The sequence below is a fragment of the Homo sapiens genome, chromosome X, assembly GCF_000001405.40.
Source record: "Homo sapiens chromosome X, GRCh38.p14 Primary Assembly".
NCBI classification, from domain to species: domain Eukaryota; kingdom Metazoa; phylum Chordata; class Mammalia; order Primates; family Hominidae; genus Homo; species Homo sapiens.
The window spans coordinates 76,652,537-76,670,125 of record NC_000023.11 but is presented as its reverse complement, the minus strand read 5'-3'; the positions used below and the strand labels follow the sequence as shown (position 1 = coordinate 76,670,125).

The 17,589-nt window shown below is 39.4% G+C and overlaps 1 long non-coding RNA gene and 2 pseudogenes across 7 annotated transcripts in view; all 3 read left to right on the top strand.

Moving 5' to 3' along the window:
- MIR325HG (MIR325 host gene) overlaps positions 1-12,328 on the top strand; it is a 356,735-nt gene extending 344,407 nt beyond the window's left edge. For 4 of the 7 annotated variants that reach the window (NR_110405.2, NR_110403.2, NR_110406.2 and 1 more), the window contains one exon: positions 11,818-12,328. This is a non-coding gene — a long non-coding RNA (MIR325 host gene). Of the gene's footprint in view, positions 1-11,457; positions 11,625-11,817 lie in introns of all 7 variants that reach the window. The other 3 variants (NR_110404.2, NR_110400.2, NR_110401.2) reach the window with 1 other exon arrangement.
- On the top strand, positions 13,391-14,621 carry TRAPPC13P1 (trafficking protein particle complex 13 pseudogene 1; annotated as a pseudogene).
- On the top strand, positions 14,999-15,117 carry RNA5SP508 (RNA, 5S ribosomal pseudogene 508; annotated as a pseudogene).

Genomic DNA, 17,589 nt, shown 5'->3' with positions numbered 1-17,589 from the left:
TTTTAAATTGCCATAGTTCTTGCACTGATTCTTTCTCATTTTTGTGTGCTGCTGTTTATTCAGTCTTTGTTGTTGTGTTCCTTTGTATGAGTTTTTTTTTTTGCTTTTATCTTCTTTGATGCCATTGGGTGTTTAATTGCGGTGTAAAGGAGGGGAATTAAGTGAACTGGCTTTATTTATGGAATATTTTACAGGGTCATGGCTTACCTCTGCATTCTTGGGCTGCATACTTCAACTCTGTGGGGCTGTTATCAGGCCCCTGGATGTTCTTTGGCCCTTTGAATTTAGCAAACTGCAGTACTGGAGGGGCCAAGGAGTTCCCAGTTTCCACTGGCCACAATACTCTGATGGATAGTTCTGGCTAAAGTGTTCCCACAGGTAGTAGCTGGTGGATCCATGCTCATTCATATATTCCAGTAGCAGTAGCAGTGTGGCAGGCTGCATGCTCATCAGCTGGGTTGGGGTAGTGGTGGGCATGGTGGGACAGTCTCTGTGCAGACATTTGCAGCAGTAGCAATGATGGCATGGCAGGGGATTATGGATGCTGACATCTATGGCAGTGTCAGCATGAGAGAGGCACTGGTGTGTGTGAACCTCGTGTCCTTCATGTGCACATTCATGCTAGCAGTAGGGGTGGTGCAGAGTGGGTGCCTGGGCCACTGACATCCATGTGTGCATTTGCATAGCAGAGGTGTCAGCTTGGGCATGGAGGCTGACTAGCATAGGGCTGGTTGCCTCCTTGTTCATGTCCATGACACAGTTAACAACAGCACAGGGTGGTAGCTAAAAAAGTGGCTTTAAATAATATTGCATCCACATGGAAAAGAAAAAAACAAAGGTTTTTGCTGGTGATGAATGATATGATTTGGATATTTGCATCCTCAAAATTTCATGTTGAAATGTAACTCCCAGTGTTGGAGGTGGGGCCTGGTGATAAGTGTTTCAGGCATGGGGCTGGATTTCTTATGAATGTCTTGGTGCTGTGCTCATGTTAGTGAGTGAATGTGTTCACTTCAGAGCTGGTCATTTAAAGGATTCTGAATCTTTCTCCTTTCCCCCATGCTTACTGTATAACCATGTGACATGCCAGCTCCCAATTTGACTTTTGATTGTATGCTCCCTGAAGCCTTCACCAGAAGCAGATGCAGGCACTATTCTTCTTGGACAGCCTGCAGAGCTGTGAGCCAAATAAACCTCTTTTGTAAATAAATTGCCCAGCCTCAGGTATTTCTTTGTAGCAATACAAAACATAGTAACCCAGAAAATCGGTACTTAGAAGTGTTGTGCTATTACAAAGAAAGTTAAAAATGTAAAAGTAGTTTTGGAACTGGGTAACAGGCAAGGTTCAGAAGAGGTTGGAGGGTTCAGAAGAAGTCAGGGAGATGAGGGAATGTTGGAGCTTCTTAGAGACTGGTTAAGGGGTTCTGATTAAAAATGTTAATAAAAATATGAACAGTGAAGTCCAGGTTGATGAGTTCTCAGATGGAGATGAGGAGGTTCTTGTGAACCAAAGTAAAGGTCAGCCATGGCATGCCTTAGCATCAACTACAAACAATGGCTGTATTGTGTTCATGCCCTAAGGATCAATGGAAGTTGGAACCTAAGAATGACAATCTAAGGTATTTTGTGAAAGAAATTTCTAAGCAGCAAAGCATTCAAGATGTGGTCTGGCTGTTTCTAACATCCTATAGTCAGATCCAGGAGCAAATAAATGACTTAAAGTTGAAATTTATAACTAAAATGCAAACATAAAAGCTTGGAAAATTAAAAAGAAACCATCAAAGTTTGGAAAATTTGCAGCCTGACCATGTAGTTGAAAAAGAAAGAACATTTTATTATTATTGTTATTATTATTATTATCATTATTATTATTATACTTTAAGTTCTAGGGTACATGTGCACAATGTGCAGGTTAGTTACATATGTATACATGTGCCATGCTGGTGTGCTGCACCCATTAACTCTTCATTTAGCATTAGGTATATCTCCTAATGCTATCCCTCCACCCTCCCCCAACCCCACAACAGTCCCCAGAGTGTGATGTTCCCCTTCCTGTGTCCACGTGTTCTCATTGTTCAATTCTCATCTATGAGTGAGAACATGCAGTGTTTGGTTTTTTGTCCTTGCGATAGTTTACTGAGAATGATGATTTCCAATTTCATCCATGTCCCTACAAAGGACATGAACTCATCATTTTTTGTGGCTGCATAGTATTTCATGGTGTATATGTGTCACATTTTCTTAATCCAGTCTATCATTATTGGACATTTGGGTTGGTTCCAAGTCTTTGCTACTGTGAATAGTGCCACAATAAACATACGTGTGCATGTGTCTTTATAGCAGCATGATTTATAGTCCTTTGGGTATATATCCAGTAATGGGATGGCTGGGTCAAATGGTATTTCTAGTTCTAGATGCCTGAGGAATTGCCACACTGACTTCCACAATGATTGAACTAGTTTACAGTCCCACCAACAGTATAAAAATGTTCTTATTTCTCCACATCTTCTCCAGAACCTGTTGTTTGCTCACAAGAAAGAACATTTTTAAGAGAGGAATACAAACGGGCTGTGGAGCAATAACTTTCTAGAGAGATTCATGTGACTAAAATGGATAAAAGTGCTAATAGCCAAAACTATGGATAAAAGACCTTGAAGGCATTTTAGAAAACTTTTAGACAGCTCCTCCCATCACAGGCCAATAGGCCTAGAGTTAAAGAATAATACAGGCATGAAGCCCAACACCCTGAGGCTGCCTTGTACAGCCTCAGGACACTGGTTGGTGCATCCACGCCACTTCGGCTCTATCTGTGGCTCAAAGAACCACAGATAGAGCTCAGGCCACCATTCCAGAAAGAGCAAATTCAAGCGTTGGTGGTTTCCATGTACTGTTAAACCTGAAGTTGTACAGTATGCAAGAGTGAAGGAAGCTTGGTAGATTTCACCTAGATTTCAGAGGATGTGTTGGAAAGCCTGGGTGCACAGGAAGAAACACAGACAGCAGCAGGAGTGGAACCCTTGATCAGAGCCTCTATTAGGTCAGTGTAGAGGTGAAATGTGGAGTTGGAGGCCTCACAAAGAATCCCCATTGGGTCACTGCCTAATGGGGCTATGAGAAAGTGACAACCACCATCCAGATCACAGAATGGTAGAGCCAACAAAAACTTACACCCTGAGCCTGGAAAAGCTGCAAGCACTTAACTCCAACCTGTGAGAGTAGTCCCAGGGGCTGCATCCTGCAAAATCACAGGGGTAGGGCTGCCCAAGGCCTTGGGATTGCACCTCTTATATGAGTGTGCCCAGAATGCAGAATCTGGCATCACAAATTTTGCTGAGGCTTTAAGGCTTAATGTCCATCCTACTGGGTTTCAGATATTGTGGAGCCTGTTGCCCCTTTCCTTCGGCCAGTTTCTCTCTTTAGGAATTGGAATGTTTTCCCAATGCTTTTGCCACCATTGTATCTTGGATATAGATAACTTGTTTTTTATCTCACAGGATCATAAGTAGTAGAAGTATGACTTGAGCCTCAAATTAGACTTTTGACTTTTGAGTTAATGCTGGAACAAATTAAGACTTTGGTAAACTATTGGGAAGGGATTATTGTATTTCACAATGTGAGAAGAGTATGAAATCTGGGGTGGGAGAACAGTGGTAGATATGGTTAGGATATTTGCCCCCTCCAAATCTTATGTTAAACTGTCATCCCCAAGATGGCCGAATAGGAACAGCTCCGGTCTACAGCTCCCAGCATGAGCGACGCAGAAGACGGGTGATTTCTGCATTTCCATCTGAGGTACCATGTTCATCTAACTAGGGAGTGCCAGACAATGGTCACAGGACAGTGGGTGCAGCGCACTGTGCATGAACTGAAACATGGTGAGACAATGCCTCACTCAGGAAGTGCAAGTGGTCAGGGAGTTCCCTTTCCTAGTCAAAGAAAGGGGTGACAGACGGCACCAGGAAAATCGGGTCACTCCCACCCCAATACTGTGCTTTTCCGACGGGCTTACAAAACGGCTCACCAGGAGATTATATCCCACACGTGGCTTGGAGGGTCCTATGCCCACGGAGTCTTGCTGATTGCTAGCACAGCAGTCTGAGATCAAACTGCAGGGCTGCAGCGAGACTGGGGGAGGGGCGCCCCCATTGCCCAGGCTTGGTTACATAAACAAAGCATCCCGGAAGCTCGAACTGGGTGGAGCCCACCACACCTCAAGGAGGCCTGCCTGCCTGCCTCTGTAGGCTTCACCTCTGGGGGCAGGGCAAAGACAAACAAAAAGACAGCAGTAACCTCTGCAGACTTAAATGTCCCTGTCTGACAGATTTGAAGAGAGCAGTGGTTCTCCCAGCAGGCAGCTGGAGATCTGAGAACGGGCAGACTGCCTCCTCAAGTGGGTCTCTGAACCCTGATCCCCGAGCAGCATAACTGGGAGCTACACACCAGTAGGGGCAGACTGACACTTCACATGGCTGGGTACTCCTCTGAGACAAAACTTCCAGAGGAACGATCAGACAGCAGCATTCCCGGTTCACGAAAATCCACAGTTCTACAGCCACAGCTGCAGGTACCCAGGCAAACAGGGTCTGGAGTGGACCTCTAGCAAACTCCAACAGACCTGCAGCTGAGGGTTCTGTCTGTTAGAAGGAAAACTAACAAACAGAAATGACATCCACACCAAAAGCCCATCTGTACATCACCATCATCAAAGACCAAAAGTAGATAAAACCAGAAAGATGGGAAAAAAAAAAGCAGAAAAACTGCAAACTCTAAAAAGCAGAGCACCTCTCCTCCTCCAAAGGAACGCAGCTCCTCACTAGCAATGGAACAAAGGTGGACGGAGAATGACTTTGATGAGTTGAGAGAAGAAGGCTTCAGACGATCAAACTACCCCAAGCTACAGGAGGAAATTCAAACCAAAGGCAAAGAAGTTGAAAACTTTGAAAAAAAAATTTAGACGAATGTATAACTAGAATAACCAATAGAGAGAAGTGCTTAAAGGAGCTGATGGAGCTGAAAGCCAAGGCTCGAGAACTACGTGAAGAATGCAGAAGCCCCTGGAGCAGATGCGATCAACTAGAAGAAGGGGTATCAGTGATGGAAGATGAAATGAATGAAATGAAGCAAGAAGGGAAGTTTAGAGAAAAAAGAATAAAAAGAAATGAACAAAGCCTCCAAGAAATATGGGACTATGTGAAAAGACCAAATCTACGTCGGATTGGTGTACCTGAAAGTGATGGGGAGAATGGAACCAAGTTGGAAAACACTCTGAAGGATATTATCCAGGAGAACTTCCCCAATCTAGCAAGGCAGGCCAACATTCAGATTCAGGAAATACAGAGAACGCCACAAAGATACTCCTTGAGAAGAGCAATTCCAAGACACAAAATTGTCAGATTCACCAAAGTTGAAATGAAGGAAAAAATGTTAAGGGCAGCCAGAGAGAAAGGTCGGGTTACCCACAAAGGGAAGCCCATCAGACTAACAGTGGATCTCTCGGCAGAAACTCTACAAGCCAGAAGAGAGTGGGGGCCAATATTCAACATTCTTAAAGAAAAGAATTTTCAACCCAGAATTTCATATCCAGCCAAACTAAGCTTCATAAGTGAAGGAGAAATAAAATCCTTTACAGACAAGCAAATGCTGAGAGATTTGTCACCACCAAGCCTGCCCTAAAAGAGCTCCTGAAGGAAGCACTAAACATGGAAAGGAACAAAAGGCACCAGCCACTGCAAAATCATGCCAAATAGTAAAGACCATCGAGGCTAGGAAGAAACTGCATCAACTAATGAGCAAAATAACCGGCTAACATCATAATGACAGTATCAAATTCACACATAACAATATTAACTTTAAATGTAAATGGGCTAAATGCTCCAATTAAAAGACGCAGACTGGCAAATTGGATAAAGAGTCAATACCCATCAGTGTACTGTATTCAGGAAACCCATCTCACGTGCAGAGACACACATAGGCTCAAAATAAAGGGATGGAGGAAGATCTACTAAGCAAATAGAAAACAAAAAAAGGCAGGGGTTGCAATCCTAGTCTCGGATAAAATAGACTTTAAACCAACAAAGATCAAAAGAGACAAAGAAGGCCATTACATAATGGTAAAGGGATCAATTCAACAAGAAGAGCTAAGTATCCTAACTATATATGCACCCAATACAGGAGCACCCAGATTCATAAAGCAAGTCCTCAGTGACCTACAAAGAGACTTAGACTCCCACACATTAATAATGGGAGACCTTGACATCCCACTGTCAACATTACACAGATCAATGAGACAGAAAGTTAACAAGGACACCCAGGAATTGACTCAGCTCTGCACCAAGTGGACCTAATAGACATCTACAGAACTCTCCACCCCAAATCAACAGAATATACATTTTTTTCAGCACCACACCACTCCTATTCCAAAATTGACCACATCGTTGGAAGTAAAGCTCTCCTCAGCAAATGTAAAAGATCAGAAATTATAACAAACTGTCTCTCAGACCACAGTGAAATCGAACTAGAACTCAGGATTAAGAAACTCACTCAAAACCGCTCAACTACATGGAAATTGAACAACCTGCTCCTGAATGACTACTGGGTACATAACGAAATGAAGGCAGAAATAAAGATGTTCTTTGAAACCAACGAGAACAAAGACACAACACAACAGAATCTCTGGGACACATTCAAAGCAGTGTGTAAAGGAAAATTTGCAGCACTAAGTGCCCACAAGAGAAAGCAGGAAAGATCAAAAATTGACACCCTAACATTACAATTAAAAGAACTAGAAAAGAAAGAGCAAACATATTCAAAAGGTAGCAGAAGGCAAGAAATAACTAAAATCAGAGCAGAACTGAAGGAAATAGAGACACAAAAAAACCCTTCAAAAAATTAATGAATCCAGGAGATAGTTTTTTGAAAGGATCAACAAAATTGATAGACCGCTAGCAAGACTAATAAAGAAGAAAAGAGAGAAGAATCAAATGGACGCAATAAAAAAAGGTAAAGGGGATATAATCACTGATCCCACAGAAATACAAACTACAATCAGAGAATACTACAATCACCTCTGTGTAAGTAAACCAGAACATCTAGAAGAAATGGATAAATTCCTTGACACATACACCCTCCCAAGACTAAACCAGGAAGAAGTTGACTCTCTGAATAGACCAATAACAGGCTCTGAAATTGTGGCAATGATCAATAGCTTACCAACCAAAAAGAGTTCAGGACCAGATGGATTCACAGCCAAATTCTACCAGAGGTACAAGGAGGAACTGGTACCATTCCTTCTGAAACTATTCCAAACAATTGAAAAAGAGGGAATCCTCCCTAACTCATTTTATGAGGCCAGCATCATCCTGATACCAAAGCCGGGCAGAGACACAAGCAAAAAAGATAATTTTAGGCCAATATCCTTGATGAACACTGATGCAAAAATCCTCAATAAAATATTGGCAAACCAAATCCAGCAGCACGTCAAAAACCTTATCCACCATGATCAAGTGGGCTTGATCCCTGGAATGCAAGGCTGGTTCAACATACGCAAATCAATAAATGTAATCCAGCATATAAACAGAACCAAAGACAAAAACCACATGATTATCTCAATAGATGAAGAAAAGGCCTTTAACAAAATTCAACAACACTTCATGCTAAAAACTCTCAATAAATTAGGTATTGATGGGACGTATCTCAAAATAAGAGCTATCTATGACAAATCCACAGCCAATATCATACTGAATGGGCAAAAACTGGAAGCATTCCCTTTGAAAACTGGCACAAGACAGGGATGCCCTCTCTCACCACTCCTATTCAACATAGTGTTGGAGGTTCTGGCCAGGGCAATTAGGCAGGAGAAGGAAATAAATGGTATTCAATTAGGAAAAGAGGAAGTCAAATTGTCCCTGTTTGCAGATGACATGATAGTATATCTAGAAAACTCCATCGTCTCAGCCCAAAATCTCCTTCAGCTGATAAGCAACTTCAGCAAAGTCTCAGGATACAAAATCAATGTACAAATATCACAAGCATTCTTATACACCAATAACAGACAAACAGAGAGCCAAATCATGAGTGAACTCCCATTCGCCATTGCTTCAAAGAGAATAAAATACCTAGGAATCCAACTTACAAGGGACGTGAATGACCTATTCAAGGAGAAGTTCAAACCACTGCTCAATGAAATTAAAGAGGATACAAACAAATGGAAAAACATTCCATGCTCATGGGCAGGAAGAATCAATATCATGAAAATGGCCATACTGCCCAAGGTAATTTATAGATTCAATGCCATCCCCATGAAGCTACCAATAACTTTCTTCACAGAATTGGAAGAAACTACTTTAAAGTTCAAATGGAACCAAAAAAGGGCCTGAATCGCCAAGTCAACCCTAAGCCAAAAGAACAAAGCTGGAGGCATCACGCTACCTGACTTCAAACTATACTACAAGCCTACAGCAACCAAAACAGCATGGTACTGGTACCAAAACAGAGATATAGATCAATGGAACAGAGCAGAGTCCTCAGAAATAACACTGCATATCTACAACTATCTGATCTTTGACAAACCTGAGAAAAACAAGAAATGGGGAAAGATTCCCTATTTAATAAATGGTACTGGGAAAAAGGGCTAGCCATGTGGAGAAAGCTGAAACTGGATCCCTTCCTTACTCCTTATACCAAAATTAATTCAAGATGGATTAAAGACTTAAACGTTAGAGATAAAAGCATAAAAACTTTAGAAGAAAACCTAGGCATTACCATTCAGGACATAGGCACGGGCAAGGACTTCATGTCTAAAACACCAAAAGCAATCGCAACAAAAGCCAAAATTGACAAATGTGATCTGATTAAACTAAACAGCTTCTGCACAGCAAAAGAAACTACCTTCAGAGTGAACAGGCAACCTACAAAATGGGAGAAAATTTTCGCAACCTACTCATCTGACAAAGGGCTAATATCCAGAATCTACAATGAACTCAAACAAATTTACAAGAAAAAAACAAACAACCCCATCAAAAAGTGGGCAAAGGAGATGAACAGACACTTCTCAAAAGAAGACATTTATGTAGCCAAAAAACACATGAATAAATGCTCACCATCACTGGCCATCAGGGAGATGCAAATCAAATCCACAATTTGATAGCATCTCACACCAGTTAGAATGACAATCATTAAAAAGTCAGGAAACAACAGGTGCTGGAGAGGATGTGGAGAATAGGAACACATTTACACTGTTGGTGGGACTGTAAACTAGTTCAACCTTTTTGAAAGTCAGTGTGGCGATTCCTCAGGGATCTAGGACTAGAAATACCATTTGACCCAGCCATCCCATTACTGGGTACATACCCAAAGGACTATAAATCATGCTGCTATAAAGACACATGCACACGTATGTTTATTGCGGCATTATTCACAATAGCAAAGACTTGGAACCAACCCAAATGTCCAACAACGATAGATTGGATTAAGAAAATGTGGCACATAAACACTATGAAATACTATGCAGTCATAAAAAATGATGAGTTCATCTTTGTAGGGACATGGATGAAATTGGAAATCAGCATTCTCTGTAAACTATCGCAAGGACAAATAACCAAACACCGCATGTTCTCACTCATAGGTGGGAATTGAACAATGAGAACACATGGACACAGGAAGGGGAACATCACACTCTGGGGACTCTTGTGGGGTTGGGGGAGGGTGGAGGGATAGCATTAGGAGATATACCTAATGCTAAATGAAGAGTTAATGGGTGCAGCACACCAGCATGGCACATGTATACATATGTAACTAACCTGCACATTGTGCAAATGTACCCTAAAACTTAAAGTATAATAATAATAAAATAAAATAAAATAAAAATGTTGTTATAGTTATTATTTTTGATTAGCTCATTATTTAATCTTTCTAGTTAGGATAGGAGTAGTTTACATAACACAGTTACAGTGTTATATTTTGAGTTTTTTTTAAATTTCTGTGTACTTACTATTAGCAGCAAGTTATGTACCCTCAGGTGATAATTTATTGCTCACTCATGTTTTTTTCTTTCTAATTGAAGTATTCCCTGTGACATTTCTGTTAGCCAGGTATGGTGTTGATAAGATCCCTTAGACTTTCTTTGTCTGGGAAGGTCTTTGTTTCTCCTTCATGTTTGAAGGATATTTTTGCTAGATATACTATTCTAGGGTAAATGTTTTTCCCTTTAGCACTTTAAAAATATCATGCCACTCTCTCCTGTCCCGAAAGGTTTCCACTGAAAAGTCTTAGGTCAGATGTATTGGAGTTCCATTTTATGTTATATGTCTCTTTTCCTGCTTTCAGGATCCTGTCTTTATTTTCGACCTTTGGTAGTTCAATTATTAAATGATTTGAGGCAGTCTTCGTTGGGTTAAATCTGCTTGGTGTTCTAGAAACTTCTTATATTTGAATATCAATATCTTTCTCCAGGTTTAGGACATTCTCTATTATTATATTTTTGAATAAACTTTCTACTCCCGTCTCTTTATCTCCTCTTTAAGACTAGCAACTCTTCTAACAACTCTTAGAATAACCCTTTTGCAGCTATTTTCTAGATCCTCTAGGCATGCTTCATTGTTTTTTATTCTTTTTTCTTTTGTTCCTCTGACTGTGCATTCTCAAATAGCCTGTCTTCAATCTCACTAATTCTTTCTTTGGCTTGATGAATTCTACTAATAAAGGACTATGATGCATTCTTCAGTATGCCAATTACATTTTTTTCAGTTCCAGAATTTCTGCTTGATTCTTTTAAATTATTTCAATTTATTTACTAAGTTTATCTGATAGAATTCTGCATTCCTTTTCTGTGTTATCTTGAATTTCTTTGAGGTTCCTCTACACAGCTACTTGGAATTCTTTGAAATGTAACATATCTCTGTTTCTCCAAGATTGGCCCCTTGTGCCTTATTTATTTCATTTGGTCAGGTCATGTTTTCCAGGTTGGTGTTGTTAGTAGATGTTCTTCAGTGTCCAGACATTGAAGAGTTAGGTATTTATTGTAGTCTTCACTGACTGAACTTATTGTACCTTTCTTTCTTGGGAAGGTTTTCCAGATATTTAAAATAATTTGGGTGCTGTGATCTAAGTTGTTTCTGCTTTAGGGGACATCCAAACCCAGTAATGCCGTGGTTCTTCCAGACTCTGAGATTACCCACTTGATGGTCTTGGACAAGATCTGGGCAAGTTCTCTGGATTATAAGGCAGTGATCTTTGTTCTTTTCTTTTGCTTTCTCTCAAACAGAGTCTTTGTCTCTGCTCTGAGCCGCCTGATGCCACAACTATGACTGCACTGGGTGAGACCTGAAGCAAACACAGCATTAGGTCTAATTCAAGGCCTTCTGTAACCACTCCTTGGCTGCTGCCTATGTTTACTCAAGGCCCTGGAGCTTACAATCAGCAAGTGGGAATGCAAGTCACACCTGTTTTATTCTCTTCAAGGTGGTGAGGTCTCTCAACCTTCAGATGGGTTCAGAGGTGCTGTCCAGGATTCAGGGTCTTGCAAAGAGATACGTAAATAGAATGCTCCACAATATGTGAAGATATTAGTGTCCCTTGTGAATGCTCAACAAAGACTGACATGAGCAGAGGAGGATTTGAATTATCAGGTAAATAAAATGAAACATTCTGTGGATATCAGTCAGGCTTCATCACAAGGAACTCCTCTTATTTTCCAATGGAATCATGAACAAAGTTGACATGTTGGCAGGGATGGATGTTATTGATGGATTTGTAATGTATCAACTTTGCTGAGCCAAACTACATTTCCTGGAATTTCATTTATTGTATTTTTCCATTTAGGATGGGCCGCAAAGGAGATTCTTCCAAGATTTCAGAAGTTGGAAGGGAAGCAGAATCCATTTGATAACACAAACACATTGTTGCTTATCTGTTGACTCAACTTGGGATGAAGAAGCAGTTGAGCCAGTTGTGTGTGTAGAGCTCAAGGACAAAGGTCCTTAGCTTCTGCAGAATACTATCATCACCAAGCTCACAGGCTTCTAGAGCAGACATGTGCTTCAGTCCATTCTGTGGGCTTCCAGCTTCTACTCTTGGAGTTCCATCCTTTTTTATGATATTACCTTTCTAACTGCATATGCTGTGGACTTCAAGCACTTGAATCAGATGTAGAGACATTATATGGACTGCTTGAGTAGCCCCCACAACTGTGTAAGCCAAATCCCTGTAACAAGTATTTATCCGTCCATCCATTCATCTGTCTGTCTATCTATGAATCTATTGATCTATCTAGCTATATTAGTCCATTCTTGCACTCTATAAAGCACTACACAAGACTGGATAATTTATAAAGAAAAGAGGTTTAATTGACTCATAGGTCCACAGGATGTATAGAAGGCATGGCTGGGGAAGCCTCAGGAAATGTACAGTCATAGCTGAAGGTGAAGAAGAAGCAAGACATGTCTTCACAAGGCCAACAGGAGAGAGACAGTGAGTGAAAGGGGAAGTGCTACACACTTTCAAACAGACCTCATGAGAACTCTGTCATGAGACTGCACTAGGGGGATGGTGCTAAACCATTAGAAACCAGCCCCATGATTCAGTCACCCCCCACCATGCCCTACCTCCAACAATTGGGATCACAATACAACATGAGATTTTGGTAGGAACACAGACAAACCATATCACTATGTATCTATCTTTCACTGGTTCTACTTCTCAGGCTGGACACTGACTGATATAGGAGTTATTCTGAAGCCAGGCCCTTTCCTCTGTGTACTGTCCTTTTTTTGTTCTGGGCCTGCCTTCACCCCCTCATTTCCCCAGTGACCATAGCCAGTAGGTGTATTAAACATGGTTTCAAAAATTGCCTATATTTTATGATGCTTTGACCTTTTGGGGCCTTGATGGATGAGGAGAGACTTCCCTTCCCAGGGCTAGCTAATTCCTAGAGATAGAAAACAACTGCCATCTGAGCACACCTGTCATATGCAAACAAACCAACCCAGAGCCCATGCCTGCTAACTATCTAATTTATTGAGTCACTATCCTCCTGTCTTAGTATTATCCCAGGACCAGGCACTAGGCAACCAGGGGTAGTACCTACAGCTCTGAGCCTACTGACATTGTTTAAACTACTCAATCCTAAGTTACTTCCCTTGAACTGCCTTGTCTTTGTCATGGAAGCCACAACATAGTCCTGTACCTGTGCTTTCCCCTGGCTGCTTCTGCCTCCTAATAGAACCTCGTGCTTCCTCATGTGGCTCTGTGAGGAGCATCGTCCCCTCTTTTCTTGGGAATTGTAAGTAATAAATTCCTCTTGCCAAGGTGGTTTTCTCTGTCTGTCATCTTACCATGCCTGATTAAGACAAATCCTGGGTAAATTTTAAAACAATAGGAAAAAATTGTCATTAAAATGGAAAATAATCCACACAGACAGGAGATCTTTATGACACTCAAATGATACCGTCTACTAGGGTGATACTGTCTACTAGGCATAGTTTGTTAACTAATTTTCTAGTCACGTATGAAGAGAATGACTTACCTGGTAATTTCTTTAATCAGCTAATCAGAGGTGATCCTCCACCAGAAATGTGAATGCTTGAGGGAAAAATTGAAATGAACATAAATCCTTAGAACTATATTTTTGAGAGAGGTAAAAAATTATGGTTATATGAGTATTTCCAAAGATAGCAATTAAGTTGCAAAAATCATATTGAAAATGATGATATTCAAACAAGTACTTAACCCTTACATGTTTTGGTCTCCATGGCTATAGTGGCAGAACTTGTACCCCATTGTTGTATTGATGATGTCATCTGACGTGTAACAGGCATTGGAAGAGTTGTCCTTATGGGTTTAGTGTTTATTCAGCTCAGTGTGGAGAAAAAAATGTTTTTTTAGGAAACTGTGCTTATTTTCTTTCCTCTCACAATTGGATAATAAAACCAAGTTTTACAATTCAGAGAAGAATGACTTATTTCTCGAAATCTAGATTCGGAATACTTCATCTTCAACTGTGTTTATACAAAGTATTTCCTTTATGTAATCTGATATGCACACTGGAAAAGAATTAAATACTGTCAACCAAGATGGAGAAAATCAATGTACATTTGGAACAACGACATTTTTGCAGTCAATGGAAGGACGCCAGTACTTAGACCATGTTCAACTCAAGCAGAAATATTCAGAGGAAGCTGGTATCATTAAGGGACTAAGAGAAATGGGAAAATTGGATATAGTGTGGAAAAGAAATCTAGGTGAAATGGCAATGCTACAGACAATCCAACTTTTAGGAGAGTCTCCAGGTTATGAAAATATGAGGCTGTCTTTGGAGATAATCCCAGATTCTGTAACTAGAAGAGCCTTTTCACATTACCTGCAAAACAACAAACTGCAGTGATAGGAAAATGAAATTGATTTTGAATATGTGTGATACAGATTCTATTCATTGTTATGGAAGTTCACGAAGGTATCTTGGAAAGCTGCCTTCATGTTCATCTCTCTGCTTTACCTAAACACTACTATTTTTAAAACCAGGCCTGCAAAGTGTCTCTGAGATACAGCTAACAGACAAATTACTACAGAAAACATATGACTATGATAATGTTGCAAATGTCTGTGTAATACCTTCCAATGTTAAAATGAAAAGCTGAAGTTATGCTTTCTAGGAAATTTTACAGAAAATCTTTTCATACTTTTGTCAGCAGCAAAATGATCAACTAAGAGCAAGTACAAAGGCTAATTATTTTAATTTACTTCCTTTGAGATTTTGAGTGCCTTTGAAAATTAAACATTTGCTGATTTTTAAAAAATCTGATAATTTTCATGTTATGTGAAGTACTTTCTAATTCCTTATATAATTTATTGTCTATTTCCTAATTTTTATAACTTTGTTAATATTATTACGGATAGTCATTGGATTTTTTTCCTTTTAGAATGATTATAACTGCTTTTCATAAATGCATACAGCATTTGACCCTTCCTGTTTCAGTGAAGCGGTAATAGAAAACATAACATATTAGTCTACGGCCATACAACCCTGAAGATGCCCAATCTTGTCTGATCTCAGAAGCTAAGCAGGGTCAGGCCTGGTTAGTATTTGGAGGGGAGAAAATATAAAATATCAGACATATTTTGATAATTTAATTTAAATAATTACTATAGTTTATTTGATAAGATTTCAACATGATCTTGTTTAGTTATTTTCCCCTCCCCTCTCAGTCAACAGTTAACTATGGCAGTGCTTCATATAATCGAGGATGGCCTTTATTATTTAAACTTGCTGACATTTTCTACCTTGGAAAAAACGTGACCTTTTCTAATGGCATTCTATATTATTGGGGCTGGAGAATTGCATTTATGCAACACACTGACCTGGCTTCTTCACATTTACTTCTTTGGTAAAATTCTATGAACTGAGGAGTTGGTTTATTTTCATCAGTTGTTATTTTTGCAGGGACCCTTATGAAAACTACTTGAATCACACAGTTGGTTCTTAAAAATTAGCATAATGCATACTTTTACTTTTATTCAAAGCTAGGAATCAGACTTATTTAAAAAAAACTAAAAACTTGCCGCTTTCTTTCCTAAGGTAAATTTAGTAGGTTCATACATGTTGGTATAAGGTCTGAAACTCTAAACCACAATGGTTACCTAAACAGCAAGTGGAAGAACAAGGATTTGCTCTCATCTCTGTCTGTCACAAAGTTCTGAGGTCCTAATCATAAATAAAACTGCATCTGAAGAAGTGTGTAATGGAGTTGTTTTACTGCTTTCTTTAAACAAGTTATTCTTCAATCCTTCATTCACAAATTAATTTTTCTTTAGAAAAATTAAGCCATTTTAGATATCAGCTAATTACTGACTTTTGAGCATGCAAGATTTATCATCTTCAATGATATGTTTTCCTTAAGCTTCTGCCCTTTCACATTGCTTTTCTTTTAAAATTTAAGCATTGACTTCTTAGTGTAGAAGCAATTCATGTATGCATTATCTATGAAAATAACAGAAGTTGCATGCTTCTTTCAATTGTTTCTCTAAGGCCAGGAATGGTAATGAAGCTCCAGTTAATATTATAGCTCTGAGTTACTGCATTATACTCTCTCTAGCTTTCCTGACTCACTTGCAACATTTTGGACATAATTTCTTTATCAATTGTGACCCTATTCTTTCTTTTATCTTGAGAACCTGACAGATAAACACACAGACACACACACACACACCAAGCACAAATACATTCCCCACATGTCCATAATAGACCTACATGTTTGTATGTTAGACTTAACTTTGCAAATGACCATAGTTATGGTTTGAATGTGTGTATTCCCCTCAAATTCATATGTTGGAAACTAAGACCCAATGTAATAGTAATAGAAGGGTGCACCCTCCAGCTGAGTTTACACAGAAGCAGGATCACTGGGCCAGAAGCTCTAGCAAGTGTTGCTTACCTGGCTACCAGCGGTGGGAGTTCACTGGGTCACCTGCCCTGCTGTTTGGCTGTATCCCAGAACAACAGGAGGAGGCTGTGTCCTCCAGCCAAATTCACATGGAATCAGGTTAAGAAAGTTTTCTTAACAATCCTAGTTTGTTGAATATTTCTATTATGAAATAGTGTATGGTATTATCAAATGCTTTTCATGCATCTCTTAAAATGATCATGACTTTCCCCCTTTATTCTATTAATATGCTGCATTGCATTGATTGAGATTCAGTTGTTATTTTATAGAATTAACCAGTGAAGCCATCGTCTGATAGGTTTTTCTTTTTGGAAGTTCTTTTAATACTATTATTAGCTCAGTCTTTTTACTTCTTATAGATTCATTTAGACTTTCTGTTTATCTTCGGTCATTTTTGTAGTTTATGCCTTTTTAGGAATGTCTCCATTTAATAAGTCAATCAAGTTTCTGTTATTTAGTGAATCAACTTTGTGATCTAGTATGACAACTAGCCTTTTGGTCTATAATTGTATATAATATTCATTGATTACACATTTTAGTAATTTTTCTTCCCATATTTTCATCAACCTAGCTGAAAGTTTATTAATTTTGTGGATATTTTCAATTAAACAGCTACAGCGTTTGTTGATTTTGTATTCTTTGCTTTACATATTTGCACTAAAAATTTTATTTATTTCTTCCTATTTCATTTGGGTTTAGCTTGTTCTTTTCTCTAGTCTTCAAAGGATACAGTTAAGTTATTCATTCAAAATCTTTCTTCTTTTTAAATATAGACATCTGCACAAGACAGGGATGTCCTCACTCCTATTCAACATAGTGTTGGAAGTTCTGGCCAGGGCAATTAGGCAGGAGAAGGAAATAAAGGGTATTCAATTGGGAAAAGAGGGAGTCAAATTGTTCCTGTTTACAGATGACATGATTGTATATCTAGAAAACCCCATTGTCTCAGCCCAAAATCTCCTTAAGCTGATAGGAAACCTCAGCAAATTATCAGGATACAAAATCAATGTGCAAAAATCACAAGCATTCTTATACACCAATAACAGAGAAACAGAGAGCCAAATCATGAGTGAACTCCCATTCACAATTGCTTCAAAGAGAATAAAATACCTAGGAATCTAACTTACAAGGGATGTGAAGGACCTCTTCAAGGAGA